At 38.9% G+C, this 19302-nt stretch overlaps 1 annotated feature.

Annotated features, from left to right (window-relative positions):
• Positions 7996–8497: an enhancer, noted in NCBI's record as "NANOG hESC enhancer chr1:581712-582213 (GRCh37/hg19 assembly coordinates)". NCBI's record gives its function as "activates a minimal SCP1, AML or CMV promoter by ChIP-STARR-seq in primed H9 embryonic stem cells {active_cell/tissue: H9 hESC(primed)}" and the evidence as "EXISTENCE:reporter gene assay evidence [ECO:0000049][PMID:30033119]".

The raw sequence follows: 19302 nt of genomic DNA on the forward strand, positions 1-19302 counted from the left end.
TCCTGCCAGGACTCTGACAGATACAAAGAACCCACAGCCGACTGCTGGGTGCGCGGCAGACCTAGTGCATGGCTCCACACTGCCATCTTGGGGGCTGGCACAGGCTGGCACTGAGTCTGGGGAAGGGAGCTGGGGCTGGAGGTGTGGAGGGGAAGACCGTGCATAGTTGCTTCCTGATCAGCTCTTTATTCGATTGAGAGTGAGGCAGGGAAGATTAGAGGGAAGCTTACAGTGGAATTCAGGGCTGAGGCTGCTATTCTTTTGCTCCTTGTAACTTCCTACAGTGTTGTCAGCATCCACATACTTCTCTGTGGGGTTGGTCTCAGAGCCAGGTTACCTTGTCTTAGGTCCAGTGGCAGCCTGACTGGCTTGGTGTCCTTGAACAAGTTACCTAACCTCTCCATACCTCAGTCCCTCAGCTGTAAAATTTTTTTAAAAAAAAAGAAGAAGAGTACCTACTGTATAGCATTGATTTGAAGATTGAATGAGCTGGTATTATACAACGTTTAGAAGCAGTGCCTGACATGCAAAAGGCTCTCAACAAATACTATCCTTTACTAATATCCTGTGTGTCTGTATCAGAGCTGGTGGGGTGGAGGGACAGAAAGAAGTAGGAGAAGGTAAAGAGATGGGAAAATGATCTCTAAAGTCTCTCTGGCACTAACACAATTCTTTATTATGTGTTTTGTCTGGCTCTTTATATTGATAGCTGTTCCAGAAGCAATCAATAGCTATTAGTCGGTTTTATTCTTATTTTTCTGTCTGATCTTACAGGGGAGCAAACTGTGGCAAAGCATGAACTTACTTCTCAGAAAATTAACCATTATGTTGGCAATCACTGTGATTATTTGAACTTCAGCATCTGGACAAATTTAGTCACATGAAATACAGAAGAGAGATTTCTCATGGTTAAAATGAAGCTCTCTTTATTTGCTTCTGCTAATTAAAAAATCAGAGCTAAAGATACTTAAACACTACAGTTAAAATGCCATGGTTGTCTATTGGCTTAATGAATTCTCTTATGAAATCAACTCTAAAATGTTATCCATCATAAATCATGAAACACAATTTTTCTTATTCTCTTTAGAGCTTTACAATTCATCTTAAAGACCAGTGTTTACACTCTCTTCCGTAGGTTGTACAATAACCTTTGGCGAGAAAAAATAAATGTCTGGCTTTCTGACTCATAGGTGTGTTCCCTTTAACAGAAAAAGAAAATATGTCCTCTTTAAAACTGATGATCATTGGTCACCTCAATTTTATTGAAGTTCACTTCTGACCTCTTTAGATGTAGTTCTCTACATAAAACTGCCCAACAGAATTCTCTGTCTGAATGCCTCCTCCACAAACAAAATTTTAAGAACTAAAATCATCATCTTTCCTTCCAAATGTGCTCTCCCTATGTCCCCAGGGCTCTCCATGTGTAGAGCTGAGACCATTTGCCACTCAGTTTCCTCACCCAATTAATTACAAGTCCCAACAATTTTCCGTTGTTTTTTTTTTTTTAGACGGAGTCTTGCTCTGTCACCAGGCTGGTGTGCGGTGGTGCAATCTCAGCTCACTGCAACCTCCACTGCCTGGGTTCAAGCGATTCTCCTGCCTCAGCTTCCCAAGTAGCTGGGATTATAGGTGTGTGCCACTACATCCAGATAATTTTTGTATTTTTAGTAGAGAGGGGATTTCACCATATTGGCCCAGATGATCTCAATCTCTTGACCTCATGATCTGCCCACCTTGGCCTCCCAAAGTGCTGGGATTACAGGCGTGAGCCACCATCCCTGGCCCAGTTTTGCCTTTTTAACATCCCTCAGCTCTTCAAATCCATTTTCTCTTCTCTAACACCTCCCCATTCCCCAGCTCGTAATGAACTCTTAAGTAGATTACTACGATCACCTCCCAAATGGTCTTCCTGGCTCCATCAGCCTTGTGACCTTCAAGTTCATTCTCCACATGGATGTCAGAGTAACTTTCTAAAATGAAAATCTGACCACGTTACTCTCTTGCCTAAATCCGCCTATGGCCGCTGTTAGGATCAAGTCTAAACTCCCGACCCTGGAACATCAGGTCTTTGTGCTCTGTTCAGTGCTTCTCTACCTCACCTGCAACCAACACCACTCCCACATCCATATTCTGCTCACCGTGTATCAACATGAACAGGAGGTGGGTGCTTCAGTCCCCAGGAAGACACTGGGCCTTTTCAATCATCTACTGCTGTGTAATAACCACCCTGCAAACTGACCACATGATTTCATTTTGCAAGGGTTCCTTCCTTGGGCTGTGTTCAGCAAAAGGGTTTACTGAGCTGGCAGGTCCAAGATGGCCTCACTCACAGGACTGGCTGTTGATGGGAGCCTTGATGCTCTTGGGCTCACCCCTTATCCTCCAGTAGGTTAGAGCTTCTTACAGTGGTTTCAGGCAGCATCTGAAGACAGTAAATGCAGAAGCTCCAAGGCTTCTTACATTCTAGCCTGGAAAATCACATCACATTGCTTCCTTCATATTTTTTTGGCAAATCAGGTTGCAAGGCTTGCCCAGATTAGGGTAAAGAGGCAAAGAGGCTCCTTTTCTTTTCTTTTTCTTTTTTTTTTTTTTGAGTCAGAATCTTGCTCTGTTGCCCAGGCTGGAGTGCAGTGGCGCGATCTAGGCTCACTGCAAGCTCTGCCTCCTGGGTTCACGCCATTCCCCTGCCTCAGGCTCCCAAGTAGCTGAGACTACAGGCACCTACCACCACGCCTGGCTAATTTTTTTTTTTTTTTGTATTTTTTGGTAGAGACTGTGTTTCACTGTGTTAGGCAGGATGGTCTCCATCTCCTGACCTCGTGATCTGCCTGCCTTGGCCTCCCAAAGTGCTGGGATTACAGGCGTGAGCCACCGTGCCTGACCAAGAGGCTCCTTTTCTTGATGAAAGGAGTAGTGAAGTCACATTGCATGTCCTTGCAAAGGGACATGCAGACCACATTAGTGAGAATATGTGCCTGTATTTTGCAATCTGTAACATGGGCATAAACTAAATGTTTTCCAAAGGGAATAGGGCAAAACAAAAAGGACCTTGACCACTCCTTTGGCCCTGAATAAATCTAGGAAGCCTAAGAGTATGACTATCCTGAGGTAGAAAGAGGGTCACATGCTGGATAAGAGGTACCTGGGCTCTCCACTTACAAGAAGAGAGCATGGTTACATTTATAATCACCATTCCCAACACGCTGTGAGTGCAGGCAGCTACCAGGAGGAGAACAAAGGAAATAACCAGGACACCCATCTCTAAACCTGTTAATTTAATCACACGGAACACTTCTATTTAAAATTCCCGAGGGTTAAGATGTAAGAATGCTTATCAAGGTAAATGCTGTTCACACTGCTTGGAGTGTCAGGCCTAGATCTCTATCCATCAGAAACAACAATATCAATAACAACAACAGCAACATGATGATGGGGCAATTTCTGAAAAGCACCATGTATTTTATCGATACATGTCCGTTGCAGAAAATCCAGGTGAATCCAAAGAAGAAATAAATGTCTTCCACAATCCCATAGCCCAGAGCTAACTAACCACTATAAAGAACCCAGCGTGGTTTTAACTAATGGATCAAAAGATGCTCATCAAAGGCTCTGAGCTTTCCTGAGTGCTAACAGGAAACATCCAGCATCACTGGTCTCTCCAAGGCTGCAGGTGTCTTTGCCCATAGTGCCTGTTTTGTGTCAGGGAAAGAATCAACCTGGGAGCCAAGCCCAGGAATCAGGATGACCAAGACATACTGGACAAGGAGGGAACAAACCCATCCAAGGACACTCAAGGACAAATCAAGCAAATGAATTTAAGGGAGACCTGCTCATGGTCTGCTTTGCTGCTCAGCATGGCTGGGAGGCACAGTGGAAGATCATGCATCCTTCCCCTGGGACTCCTCTGCCAGAGCCTGAGAGCTTTCTCCTGCACACAGGCTAGGGGTAGGGCAGTTGGAATTGATCCATGCCTTCTAGCTAGACTGTGGGTCCCCTCAGTCTTGGGCATGGTGACAGCCCAGCATCAGACAGAGGTCAGTATCAAACTAGAAAATTTAATAAATGCTGTCAGATTTGTAGACCCAAGAAAATATAAACTGCCAATCACGGAGGAAAAAAATCTCTCAATGATCTTATCTTTATATGATTCCCTTGCTGCCTGGAGATTGACATTTCCTTGGGGATAATCTGGTCATAGGATTGGTGAAGGTGGAAGGGAGGCAACCTCCGAAGGTGGGGCCCTCTGCTCACCTGGGACAGGGAGGGCCTGAGGTAGGTGTCTGTGTGGGCTGGGGAGGAGGATGGGAGCAGTGCTTCTAGATGTTTCCACTTTCTCCTCATTAGATAATAATGAATGGGTGATTTCCCTAGTCACTGCAGTGTGAGGAAATCTACAAAATTAATTTCACAATACACTTTACAGGATAGGTGGAGAAACACATGAAGCACAACTGCAGTGGGTTATAAAAAATGGCCTTTCGAGTTGAGCAGTAAATTCGTTCAAGCAGCCATTCTGAAGGACAAACTGGCTCTGTATTTAACAGGGGCATTCCAGCACTTCTCTAGCTACTGGGTTGACAATGACTCACCAAAGCCTCTGGTAGCCACCACAGGACGCCCAGAGCACGTTTTAAAGCTGAACACCAAACTGCGGACTTCGGGAGTAAGTGAACTGACTGGTTTTTATTTTGTTTTACTGCTTTTAACATTACAGTAACTGTTACAGGTTCCAGCAGGATAACTGGGTGGAAATGAGTTTGGTTTCACTTAGTCTCTCTAAAGAGAAAGCAAGTTGGTAGACTAATACCTAATAAAAGCAAAGCTGCCAACAATTGAAATTGCCTGGACTGCTCTGTGTGTCCCACATGCATGGGTGTGGGTGCCAGTGTGTGTGCGTGTGTGCATGCATGTGCATGTGTGTTGGGATAGAGTGGTAAGAAAATGGGAAATAATAAGAATGTTCAGTCCATAGCCCTTCATTATAAAAAGGTGAGCTGTAATAAATACTAGTGCCACATTTAGCCAAAACTTTACTCCAGCCAAAGGTGATATTTTCATGATAACATCCTGTGATTGCTTTGTTCTTCGTCTTTTATGTTCTTCCTAGATGGGCTCAGAACATACAAGAATTAAGTACACATCTTATTTTCCAGTGATAATGCTACCGGCAAATTCTGTTGTTTGTATAAACATCAGCCATGTTTATATAACTAAACTAGTGTTTTGTTTTGTCAATTCAGCAAGAAATTAGACCACATGGTGGCTTAATGCTGCATTGATTTGGCTATCAATTTGTTTTCACTTTTCTGCAAAATATTTAATACATTATTAAATTGAATTATGCTGATGCCACAGTTGTTCTTATCTCAATTGTCTTAAAATTCATTTAATTTTTTTTTCCTTTGGTTTCATTATTCAAATTTTAACTTCAGTTCTCAACATTTTATCTGATGGAAGAGATGGAGTCCATTACTAAGGACTCCATTGTGCTCCATCATGCCAGAGTTGTAAAATAGATCTTTTAAAGGAAATTTACTGTGATTTTTTTCTATTTAAGAGCTTCCTCTCCAGTTGAGCATGTAAGAAAATTATACCAGGAGAATACAGTAAACTCTATGAGGCAAGCTATAAACATGTAGCATTGTGATTAGGGCTGGTTCTCCTTCTAGAGACATGGTAGGATTGCAATTTCATACCATCCTTGAAGTTAGAGAGAGCCACGTGACTCATTTAGCCAATGAACTGTGAGCAGAATGACATGTCACTTCCAGCAGAAGCTTTAAGAATCTGAGAGACATTCATACGTTTTCCATGTGCTGTAGCCTTATACCCAAAGCCTGGGTCCCAAGTGACCATGACAGGCAGAGCTCCCTGTTGAGCCACAGAGATTTAGAGAATGGCTGTTAACACAGCATAATCCAGCCCATCCTGACTAATCTGATATTAACATGTATAATAAAGAATTCTATCAATGCTGAGGGAAGATGATTAGTTAAGGTCCTAGGTTGCAAGTCTCAAAACCTCTTCTAAGGATTGTAGACAGGAAATTAAATGACTTCTAGTCCCTAGAGTTCCCAATCTCCTACCATCCCATCCTAATATGACAGAAGTAATTCCTGAGTTGCTTCTGAAACCAGAGCTTCCCTCAGAACCCTTAGCCTGCCAGATGGCTTCTTGGAGAGCCCTCACTCACTTTTCTCCTTCTGCTATTGCTGCTCATTCATTCCAGCTTTTAAAAATTCATCTTTATCCAGGAACCTCGCTTCTAGAAAAGTCATACAGGTGCTTCCAGGAGGCTACATGGGCACCCATATTTTTCTAGCCACTTTCATTAGACCAATGCAGCAGAGAAGAAAAGCCTCAATAATTATTATGACATGGCATGTTAGGATACCAGGTAAATTGCATTTGTAAAATGTGATTTTCTGTTGGTGTTCACTTCGGCTCTACTGACATTTGGTAAGTATTATTGACTGACTGACTAACTAATGTGGTCATTAGTCTTCATAAAGAAAGGCTCTCTACAAAAACGGAGGGATGCCCTTTTTCTGGCATTTAATACGTAAGAAATTGCCTCCGATAGAAACCAGAGTTGCCTGATTACTATCAGCACAGGAGAAATGTATTAATGTGCCTTTCTAGTAACAGGTTTTTAGAAAGTCAAATATAAACAAATCTGTCTATTTGTGTGTGTGCATGTGGTAGTGGGGAGGGAAGAAAAAAGGAGGGGGAGAGAAAGAGAAATAAGAACCAAGTTTATTATACTGTATTCAGGGGGAAAACATTTTCCCAAGGTTCTAACAGAAGAGCAAAGTGCCACTGTCAATAGCCTCAGTAGTGTGAGGGTTGCTTTTATGTATTTATTTATTTACTTATTTATTTATTTTTCCTTTTTTTTTCCTTTCTCTTTTTTTCTTCTTTTTTTTTTTTTGGACAGAGTCTCACACTGTCGCCTGGGCTGGAGTGCATTAGCGCAATCTTGACTCACTGCAACTTCTGCCTCCCAGGTTCAAGTGATTCTCCTGCCTCAGCCGCCCAAGTAGCTGGGATTACAGGTGTCTGCCACCGTGCCTAGATAATTTTTTTATATTTTTAGTAGAGATGAGGTTTCACTATGTTGGCCACGCTGGTCTCAAACTCCTGACCTCATGATCCACCCACGTTGGCCTCCCAAAGTGCTGGGATTACAGGCGTGAGCCACCGCCCCTGGCCAGGATTGCTTTTATAGCCAGTCTTCAGGTGCCCACTGTAGGAACAATGTCATTTAGCCCTCGGGATTATTCTGTGCCAAATATGGATAATGACTAATATTCAACACAGATATTCTCAGCTCAGAAGAGCAATTAGCAAATTCATAAATTAAGTGCTTGCTTCCTTTTTAGTCAAATACAAACATTTGTTAAAAGATATTATTTTGCTTTACACTTTGTCTCTCAGAAATAAACAGATGCTTGAATTCCCACAGTGCTGCTTGAGCCTCACACCATGTCATCCTGCCAGGCACCCAGATCCAGTTCTAGAGTTTCACATGATCATGAGTGTTGGTTAATAAGTCACTGTGAACTGGGAGGGGAGATTTTTCAGGAGTGCCACAGGGCTCTCCCTTTAATCACATACACTCCCTGCTTTCATTGGAAAGTGTATAATGATGTCAGAGTGCCCCAGAATGGAGCTAGTTGGAAGACTGCCGTCATAGGGATGCCTTAGTGAATCAATCAGGTTTTAATTTCTGGCTCTCAACTTTGTAGATGTAAAAGTTGATTTATCAATATGTGAGAAAGGATGAATCTTTCTGAAGGTTATGTCATCACACTCACTAAGCACACAGAGAATAATGTCTAGAATCTGAGTGCCATGTTATCAAATTATACTGAGACTCTTGCAGTCACACGGGCTGACATGTAAGCATTGCCATGCCTAGTACAGACTCTCCCTGCAGATGAAATTATATGGGATGCTAAATTATAATCAGAACAATGTTTGGTGAGCCAAAACTACAACAAGGGAAGCTAATTGGATGAATTTATAAAAATATACCTCAGCCAAAATAGCTTAATTCAGTCTCCCTTATCATAAGGATACTCTTGCCTAAAGGGACAGTAATATTAAAGACACTGGGAATAACCTCTGTACTTTGGACAGTAGACCTGCATAGCCCATTAGGCCTCAATGAAGTCTTATGCAAGACCAGAAGCCAATTTGCCATTTTAAGGTGATTCTCCATGTTTCTGCTCTAACTGTGCTTCACAATACTCAAGACACTGAATCAGGATGTTTCCTGGAGTGCAGGGAGCTGTCCGTGTTACTGAGCAGTTCTCAGCAACACAAAGATCCTACTGACTCCTCATCAGACTTCTTTCTCACTGGAATTTTACACCTGGGCTGTTAACACCAGGCCAGGTCAAATTCAAAGGAGAGAAAAAAGCTCATTATGAAGGGTAAAATCCAAAACACTGTGCATAAAGATATGTGTGCACAATTTTTATACATAAAGATTTCATAAAGCCAAAGCATCAGGAAATGAAAAGAGATACAGAAAGAAAAATGATGGTAAATGAGACATTAATTTACCCTTCTAATCTCTATCACAGCAAAAAGGTAATTAAAAAATCTATATGAGGACCAAAAAATACACAAAGATTATGTAGCAAAGCCTATAGCCTAAAAAAGTAAACATTGAAATTTGTATGTCCATAAAATGTTTACAAAATTCAGTACATATTACACACCCCACCCTAAAAACATCTAAGCAAAGTAGAGAATGTAGAAATGCTACAGATTATATTCTCTGATTATGACACGACAAAACTAGAAATTACAGCATGGAAATTTAAAAGCTTTCTCTTAAATAATTCTATGTCAAAAAGAAATCCAGGCCGGGTACAGTGGCTCATGCCTGTAATTCCAGTACTTTGGGAGGCCAAGGTGGGCAGGTCACTTGAGGTCAGGAGTTCAAGACCAGCCTCGTCAACATGGCGACACCCTGTCTCTACTAAAAATACAAAAATTAGCTGGGCCTGGTGGCGCATGCCTGTAATCCCAGCTACTTAGGAGGCTGAGGCAGGAGAATTCCTTGAACCCAGAAGGTGGAGGTTGCAGTGAGCTGAGATTGCACCACTGCACTCCAGCCTAGGTGACACAGCAAGACTCTGTCAAAAAAAAAAAAAAAAAAGAAATCCAAATAAAATTTCCAGAATATGTGGAAAATAGTGACAATAAAAATATTACACATGTGTAATCCCAGCATTTTGAGATGCCAAGGTGGCAGGATCACTTGAGACCAGGAGTTCGCAACCAGCCTGGACAACATAGGGAGACTCCATCTCCACACACGCCAAAAAAAAATTTTAAATAGCCAGGTATAGTGGTACTTCTTGTAATCCCATCTACTTGGGAGGCTAAGGTGGGAGAATCACCCAACCTCAGGAGTTCAGGGCTTCAGCAAGCCATGATCATATCACTGCACTCCAGCCTCAGCAACAGAGCAAGATCCTATCTCAAAAAAAAAAAAAAAAAATCACATGTGGGAAATAGCTATAGCACAATAAAAATAAATGTATTAAGTATGAACAACAAAAAAGCTAGTAAAGGTTGAACAACAACTATCCTTAGGAAAGTGGAAATAATGTGTTAATAAATATGAAAGCAGGCTAGGCACGGTGACTCACATCTGTAATCCCAGCACTTTGGGAGGCTGAGGCAGGCAGATCACCTGAGGTCAGGAGTTCCAGACCAGCCTGGCCAACATGGTGAAATCTTGTCTCTCCTACAAATACAAAAACTAGCCAGGCTTGGTTGCGCACTCCTGTAATTCCAGCTACTTGGGAGGCTGAGGCAGGAGAATCTCTTGAACCTGAGAGGCAGAGGTTGCAGTGAGCCAAGATCATGCCACTGCACTCCAACTGGGGCAACAGAGTGACACTCCATCTCAAAATAAATAAATAAGAAAGCAGAAACTAATAAATTAGAAAACAGAAACATAGAACTAATTTATAAATCAAAGCACTATGCCTTGAAAAGAGGGAGAAAAATTGTGAATTAAGGAAGGGAAGAGATGGTTGGAGAGGAGGTGGGAGAAGGCAGAGATAATTGAAGGAGCAAAAGCATCTGGAGAAGCAAAGCCACTGAAAGATGAACAGGGCTCTGAAAGAAATGCTTGATTGCTATCTTTTCAAATGACTGCAGTTCCCAGTGACATCATTTTTCTCCTCCCTGGAAGTCTGAGGGGCAGTTCACTTATCTCCTCCCCTCCCCTACTCCTCACCCCACACTCAAAACCTGTCTATGCTCCTTTCATTCTCATATGACAGATTTCAGATGGCATTCTTATTTCCCTGATTTCTTTTTGAGATAGCTTGCATTTCCCTACTCTATATAAAGCCACCGTTTATCAAATGCCTACATGGACCAAGCAGTCCACAAGGGCTTCACAGACAGTTTTACTAAACTCATGCCAAAACTTTCAGGTTTTATAGATAAAGATCTATACCTTATAGATAAAGGTATCTATAAGGTATAGATAAAGGTAAGGTATCTATACCTTATAGATAAAGAAATTGAAGCTTATAGAGTTTAAGTAATGTTCCCAAAGCCTCGTGGCTAGTAATTCAAACCTAATTTCTGCCTACTCCAAAGTCTATTTTTCCTCATGATACTATACTGCCTCTCCATGGATAAAGACAGAGATCACATATTAATAAAATTTGCACAAAGTCGGCAAATTGTTGAAAGGGAAGGCTAAGATGATTAATAAAATCAAGAGCCAGATGATCTCAACAACCTGAAATAACTGGCTGACAACCAATTTGAATAACTCCCTGCGGGTGAAGTTCAAAGTACTATTTGGGGTTTTTTTTTAAGTTTGGCTGGGTGCAGCGGCTCACGCCTGTAATCCAAGCACTTAGGGAAGCCAAGGTGGGTGGATCATGAAGTCAGGAGTTGAAGACCAGCCCGGTCAACATGGTGAAACCCCATCTCTACTAAAAATAAAAAATTAGCCGGGCCTGCTGGTGGATGCCTGTAGTCCCAGCTACTCGGGAGGCTAAGGCAGGAGAATCGCTTGAACCCAGGAGGTGGAGGTTGCAGGGAGCCGAGATCGCACCACTGCACTCCAGCCTGGGTGACAGGGCGAGATTCCGTCTCAAAAAATAAAATAAAATAAAATAAAAAATAAAAGTTTGATATATTCAGAATCAGGGAGGTCTGTTGGGTGCAGTTCATTTGAAAAATTCCTCAGCATTTTAGTGATCTGTATGGTCCCTCTATCCGTCAGGGTCCTAGCAGGAAATTGTTGCACTCTCAAAGGATTAAGCAGAAAGAGTTTAATGAAGGGTCTCTTTCCAGGGTTAAGGGAACTGCTAGGGTTTGGATATTTGACCACTCCAAACTCATGTTGAAATGTGATCCCCATTGTTGGAGGTGGGGCCTAATGGGAGGTGTTTTGGTCCTGAGTGTGGACCTCTCACGAATGTCTTGGTGCCATCCAAGTGAGTTCTTGCTCGCTCTTTTTTTCTTTTTGAGATGTAGTTTCACTCTTGCTGCCCAGGTTGGAATGTAGTGGTGCGATCTTGGCTCACTGCAACATCCACCTCACGGGTTCAACCCATTCTCCTGTGTCAGCCTCCAGAGTAGCTAGGATTACAGGTACCCACCACTATGCCCAGCTAATTTTTGGTATTTTTAGTAGAGACGGGGTTTCACCATGTTGGCCAGGCTGGTCTCAAACTCCTGACCTCAGGTGATCCACCTGCCTCGGCCTCCCAAAGTGCTGGGATTACAGGCGTAAGCCACCGTGCCTACCTAGTTCTAGCTCTCTTAATTCCCACAAGAGCTGGTTGTTAACAAGAGCCTGGTACAAACCCCTCTCTCTTGCCACGTGATCTCTGCACATGCCAGCTTCCCTTCCCCTTCTGCCATGAGTGGAAACAGACTAAAGCCCTCACCAGAAGCAAATGGTGGCACCATGCTTCTTGCACACCTTCAGAACTGTGAACCAAATAAACCTCTCTTCTTTAAAATTATTCAGCCTCTGGTATTCCTTTATAACAACACACACACACACACACACACACACACACACACACACACGCAAAAGCAGACTAAAACAGGAACTAATTAGAAATGGTAATGCACCGAGGGATTGGCACCGAGGCTCCCCAACAGGAACTGAGGCCATGGATAGAAGGACACATTCATGTTATTTTTTTCTAATGGTTAAGTAATTATTTGCTCTTACTCTCAAAATTTCTGCCAAGGCCTCCCATGGACCAAACTCAACTAGGATCTAGGAAGCAGAGAACCTGAGTGTTGCATTCAGCAGAAGTCAGCTTCCTAGGGAATATTGCAGGAAGGGTGAAGGTAGAGAATCTGGTGGGGAAGCAAGCAAATGCCCATCACATGCACTTTCCTCCAACAGAGCGACTCAGATGCTATAAAACTTGCTAACGCAGTCTCAGGGTCTGATCACAGTAACATACAAGCCAGGTTTTAGTCATCAGAAATCGCAGTCCTATTGTCTTCTGCACAGACCCAAACACACTTGGAGGTCATGTTCAATATGAATACCTCACAGAGAAGGAAATTTACACACGAGAAGTACATCTGCAGAAAGCCAGCTGGCATGTCAACCATTCGAAAACTCAGGGTGTTCGGGATAAAGAAGACTCAGGAAGACAAGTATGAAGCATAATCTGTGACATTATTGATATCTTCCTGATATCAATATTATTGATATCTTCCTGAAGAACATAATTCCTGCCTACCATCAACAAGCATCAATACTTTCTACCAGCTATTCTCAACCCTCATCATCGGAAGAGACAGACACTGACTGTGTCAAAGTATTAGTCCCATCATTCAGCAATTAACTTTAGCTCAATGCTTCAAAAATTCTTCAGGCCCTGTGTAATTTCAGCTATGTACATTAATGATGAGTACCCATACAACCATTCTGTTTCTTATTTTCAGTACCATATTTAATAAATATCAGTTATTCAATACTTTATTTAGACATTTTGTTAGATTATTTTGACCAATGAAGTCTAATCTAAATGTTCTGAGCATGTTCAAAGTAAGCTAGGCTAACCTATAATTTTTGGTGTGCTAAATGCATTTTTAACTTATGATATTTTCAGTTTACGGGGGTTTGTTGGGACATAACTTCATCATACATCAAGGAGCATCTGTATATGGGATATAGTTAAAGCAGTGATCAGAGGAAAATCTATAGCCTTAACACATTTATTAATAAAAGTGTAGGAATTAAATTATCAGCTGAAAAATGTAAAAAGTATCTAAAAGAGTAAGCAGAAAGTACAAGAAAGAACCCATAGTAGAAAAAAGTGAAAATTAATAAAATAAGAAGCCAAAAAACAGATCAAATCAGTAAACCAAAAATCTTGTTCTTTAAACAAATCAACAAAGTTGACAAAAAATTAGATCTTTTAATCATGAATAAAAAAAGAGAAAGCACAAAAATGAATAAGGAATGGTGAGAGAAATAACTATTGATAATCAGCAAATAAAAAATCATTAAAAACAATGTTGTTCACATCTATGAAAAACATTGAAAGCTAGAGGGAATGGGTAATTTTCCAGAAAAATACAATTCACCACAATTGACTTCAAAAAAAAAAAAAAAAAGAAGTACAGCACTTATGTGAGCAATTTCCATAGAGAAATACAGTTGTCATGGAATTATAACACACACACAAACACTAGGTTTAGATGTTTTCACAGAGAATTCCACCAAACCTTTAGAAATCAGATCATCCAAAGGCAAATTAACAACCCTCAGCCATTTGAGGCAAAATATTACAATTGAGGCAAGATATACTGTACTGAAAACTTGAGGAAAAAGCAGGAGAGAAAGTTCCTTTGGGAAATTCGAATACTCAAAAGTGCTTACATACAATGAAAAATTTGGAAATCCATAAGCATGGCCAAGGTGGGACACATGCTCAGAAAAGGCCTGAGAAGACACTAATAACTCACCTTTAGTAATTCCTAGGCTCACAGCAAGAAAAAATGAAGGCTAAGGCAGAATTATATATGGCTCCGCTAAGTGTTGAGGGAGCCCCAATACAGAGTCAGTAAGCAAAGTCTGGGAGATGTTTTTCATATTTTTTTCTTTTTTGGCTCCTTGCAGTCAAGGAAATCATTTTTAAATCACTAAATGCTAAATGAACACAAGCTAAAGGAACCGAGCCGCCTTCAAACATCAAACATAAAAAAGAATGCAGATATTACAAAACCAGTTTACAAAAGTTACTAAACAAATAAAAACTACATCCCACAGTGGGTAACAAAAATAACCTTGAAGAAGGGAAAAATTTGGTTTCCAGAATAAACACATTATAATATCCAAAATGTCCAGTTTTCAACAAAAATTAAGAAGCATGCAAATAAACACAAAACTATGGCCCATTTACAGAAGAAATAAATGAGACTCTCCCTGAGTAAGCAGATATTGGAAATATTAGACAAAAACTTTATATAACTGTCTTAAATAAACTTAAAGAGCTAAAGAAACCCAAGAGAATGACATATAAATAAATAAGAAATATGAATTTTTTAAAAGGTACAAAAAAATTCTGAGGCTGAAAAGTACAATAACTAATTAAAAAGTTACTTTTTACTTAGGGTTCCAATAGAAGATTTGAGCAGCTGGAAAAAAGAATCAGTGAACTTGATAGATCAAGTGAAATGATTCAGTCTGAAGAGCAGGAAAATGAAAGAATGACAACAAAAAAGAATAGAGCCTAAAGACCTGTGTAACAACATCAAGAATGCCTACATACAGAATCCTGGTGGGGAGTGAGGGGCAGGAAGACTATTTGAAGAAATGTGTTTGAAAGCTTCCCAAATTTCACTAAAAACAAATATATACATTCAAAAAGCTCAGTGCACTTCATCAAGGAAATATACAAAGATATTCACACCAAGACACACTATGTTTCAAATTGTCAAAAGGCAAAGCGAATGTTTGAAAGCAGCAAGAGAAAGGCAACGCGTCATTTACAAAGGATCCTCAATAAGTTTGACAGCAGATAGTGCATTATAATCCATGGATGCCAGAAGAGCTTAGGAAAAAGGCAATGCATCATTTACAAAGGATTCTCAGTAAGTTTGACAGCAGAGAGCTCATTATAAACCATGGGTGCCAGAAGAGCTTAGAATGACATTTTAAAGTTCTGAAAGAAAAAAACACTGTCAACCAAAAATTCTGTAACTTGGAAGATGCCCCTTCAAGTATTAAGGATAAATTACACATTCCCAGATTAAAAAAAAAAGAGAGAGAGAAAGAGAAAGAAAGAAAGAAGAGAGAGAAAGAAAGGGAGAGAAAGAAAAAGAAAGAAAGAAAGAAAGAGAAAGAAAGAAAGAAAGAAAGAAAGAAAGAAAGAAAGAAAGAAAGAAAGAAAGAAAGAAAGAAAAAGAAAGAAAAGAAAGAAAGAAAAGCAAGCAAGCTTTAAAAGTTCATGTTTGGTAGGCTGTACTTCAAGATACACTTTTAAAAAAAAAGACTCCTTCAGATACAAACTAAAAAACACTAGAAAGTAACTCAAAACCACATAAAGAAATAACTCCAGTAAAGATAACTACATAGGTAAATATAAAAGCAATTATCATATTTTTTGTAAGTCTTTTTAAATATTCTATATGTTTTAAAACAAATGTGTAAAATAATGACTATAAATCTATGTTAATGAAGCATGATGTATAAAGATGTGGTTTGTGAAATTACCAACATAAAGAAATTCATAGGAAACTAAATAATAATAGAGATTTTGTATACTATTGAAGTTGTTTCAATTTACTCTAAATTGTTCCAAATTAAGAATGTTAATTGTAAATCCCCATGGTAACCACTAAGTTAATATCTTTTGAAAATACAGAAAAGGAAAGCAGAGGGTAAACACAGTGATATGCTACAAAATAGCAACTAAACACAAAAGAAGGCGATAATTGAGGAAATTAGGAACAAAGGAGGTATAAGACATACAGAAAACAAAAGCAAAATGGTAGGAGTAAGCCCCTCTTTATCAGTAATTACATTAAATACAAATGAATTAAACTCTCCAATCCAAAGAAAGAGATTGACAGAATGGATTTTTAAAAAATGATCCAACTATATTGTCCACAAGATACTCACTTTAGATCAAAATACACAATGAGTTGAAATGAAAGGATGGGAGAAAATATTCCATGTAAGTAATAACCAAAGGAGATCTGAGGCAAATATACTTATATCAGACAAAATAGACTTTAAGTCAAAAACTGTTACAAAATACAAAGAACAGTATATATTGATTTCAAAATTAAACAAGAAGATATAACAATTATAAATATATGTACACCAACTAACAGGGCTCCAAAATATATAATGTAACCATTGAGAGAATTAAAGGGAGAGACAGACAATTCCACGAAAATTGTTGGGCATTTTAAAACCCAACTTTAATAAAGGACAAAACACCCAGAGCAAATATCAAGGGAGGAATTAGAGGATTTGAATAAAACTATAAGCAATAACTATAGATAACACTTCTCTCAAAAACTGCAGAATACACATTCTTCTCAAGTGAACATGGAACATTCTCCAGCACAGATGATATGTTAGGCCATAAGATAAGCTCAATAAACTTAAAAAGATTGAAATCATGCAAAGTATCTTCACTGACCACAATGGAATGAAATAAGATATCAATAACAAAAGAAAAACTAGAAAATTTACAAATATTTGGAAATTAAACAACACAGTATTTACCAACCAATGAATCAAAGAACAAATCATGAGGGAAATTAGAAAATGTTTAGAGACGATTGAAAACAAAGATATAACAAGATGGGTGTGATATATCAAAAGCAGTGCTCAGAGTTGTAACACCTACATTTTAAAAAAGAAACATGTCAAATCAATAACCAAACTTTACTCAATAAACCATAAAAGGAAGAGCAAACAAAATCCAGAGCTAGCAGAAGGAAGGAAATAAAGATTAGAGCAGAGATAAATGAAATTGAGAATTAAAAAATTATACAGAGATCAACAAAACTAAAAGTTGGTTCTTTTAAAATATCAATAAAATTAATATACTTTTACATAGACTAAGCAAAACATCTCTATTCAGCTGACTTTTTTTTACAAGGGAGCCAACATTATTCAGTGGGGAATAATAGCTTTTTCAACAAAAAGTGCTGGGAATACTGAATATTCATATGCAAAAAAAATGAAGCTGGACCCCTACCTCACATTATATACAAAATCTAGATTGGATCAATAATGTAAATATACGAGTGAAAACCATACATGCTTAGAAGAAAACATGGAAATAAAACATTGCTGTGGATTGGCAATGCATTCTTAGATAATACAACAAAAATACAAGCATGAAACAAACAAATGTAGCCAAAATGTACCAGAATCTGAAAACATGTATTATCTATAAAGAATTAGAGGGGAATTTGGTGAAAGAAATATGGGAGAATGGGATATTGCTCTGTGAATGCTTTTGTGCATAATTGTACATTTTTAATTAAGTTAATCTTTTACACTCTCAAAGTGTGATATTAAGCAAGCAAAGATAAGTTATTACAAGACTCTAAAACCGAATGCAATGAGAAACAAGTGAATCCAAATATATTTCAAATGAATGAATGACATAATCAAACTTAAGGGGAAAATAATAATTAATCTGATTAATTTTTGACTGTTCTCTTATTTCAAATTGACTTTTGAACATACTTTGACTACATACTATTGCTTGAAAAAATAAAATATCTGCAAAAAATTATTAAATCTTCATGATAGGATTTTTTCTTTTTATATTAGTATAAATATAACAATTCTGAAACAAATGTATGTGCATTGTAAGATTAAGCCAATGAGTAAATATTAATATATTTGTATTGCTAGAACCCCAGATTCTCACTGTGAAAGGACAGAGATACAGATATGGAATAAGACAAGGAAAGAAGCAGCCCACTGAGTTACATTAGAATCAGTATTATCAACATAAATATACAATGTGCTCTCTCACATGCTCTTTCCTTCTCTTAAAAAATATATAATATGTACATATTATATATTATATGCATAGACACACGTGTGTCTATACATATCCTACATGTACATATTGAGGATTAACAGGTGCTAGTAGAAAATATTAACTTTCTTTGTATTAACAGGTGTTAGTAGAAAGTAGTAGTAGGTGCTAAGATAAAAGCCATAATTAAACCTCCTGGTGAATGAACACACCATCACCTACAATCTTACCAAAAATAGAACCAAGCACGTGTCCTAGTCAAACCTCTGGATTCAACTGTCATTTGGATAAAACGCAAAGGATAGTGAAAATGTCGATCTTCACTGAGAGTCTAACCAGCAAAATTCACAGTGTGGACACCAAGTGACAAAAATCCCAAATTTTTCAACAAATATATTGTATGGGAAAGAAAACTTTGAAAAGAAACCTGTATGTTAGAAGGGATTTTAAAAACACGACAAATGAAAACAAATGGGCAAGACTAAATCATAGTGTCTTGGAATGCATGCAGGAAGGACACAGCCGTGAAAATGCAAGGACGCCTCTACTGGAACAGTCACGTTTATCGTCACTTTTCAGGAGAAAGGTGGCTGCAACTGAGGAGAGTCACATGCTTCAGGGCTGGCAAAGTCCTATATCTTGACTTATGTGATGATTACAGGGATGTTTACAAAAATCAAACTATAAGTTTGTTTTGTGCCATGTTTTGTATTGTGTGTGTGTGTGTTTTGTTTTTCAACTTAAAAATAAATAAAATCAAAACCAAGGCTTCATTATCAAGTAGCACAAAGTCTCCAATCTATAACCTCCTTTGTCTGGATATCTGCATTTAACTACCATTGCCAGAGCTAATCCTGACAATGCATTCATATTTTTAACACTGAAACACAGTAAACAGGGAAAATTTTGCTCCTCTAAAACAGGGCATCTTCAGGCAATCAGAACAACTCAGAAAGTTTCTGTCTGTTGCATAAAACTCCCCTGTGCAAAGAGTTACACAAAATGCTGTCATAGTAAAGGTAGTTAACTAACGGCACTAATTGTTCTTGGGCAGTGGCCAAGTGGAACTTCAGAGACCTGGCATTGCCAGCCAGAAATCACTTGTCATGGGAATTGTCTCCTGGAATCACTTTGGTTGTCCCAGGGTAACGCAGGGAAAGTGGTTAATGGGTCACTTGGGGGTGGCATCTTCATCAGTAAATCACATTTACTTTCTCCTACTAAGAATTTTATTTTTGGCCATGAAGCCAAAAGTCAGCTC

The sequence above is a fragment of the Homo sapiens genome, chromosome 1 (genome assembly GCF_000001405.40).
Source record: "Homo sapiens chromosome 1, GRCh38.p14 Primary Assembly".
NCBI lineage: Eukaryota > Metazoa > Chordata > Mammalia > Primates > Hominidae > Homo > Homo sapiens.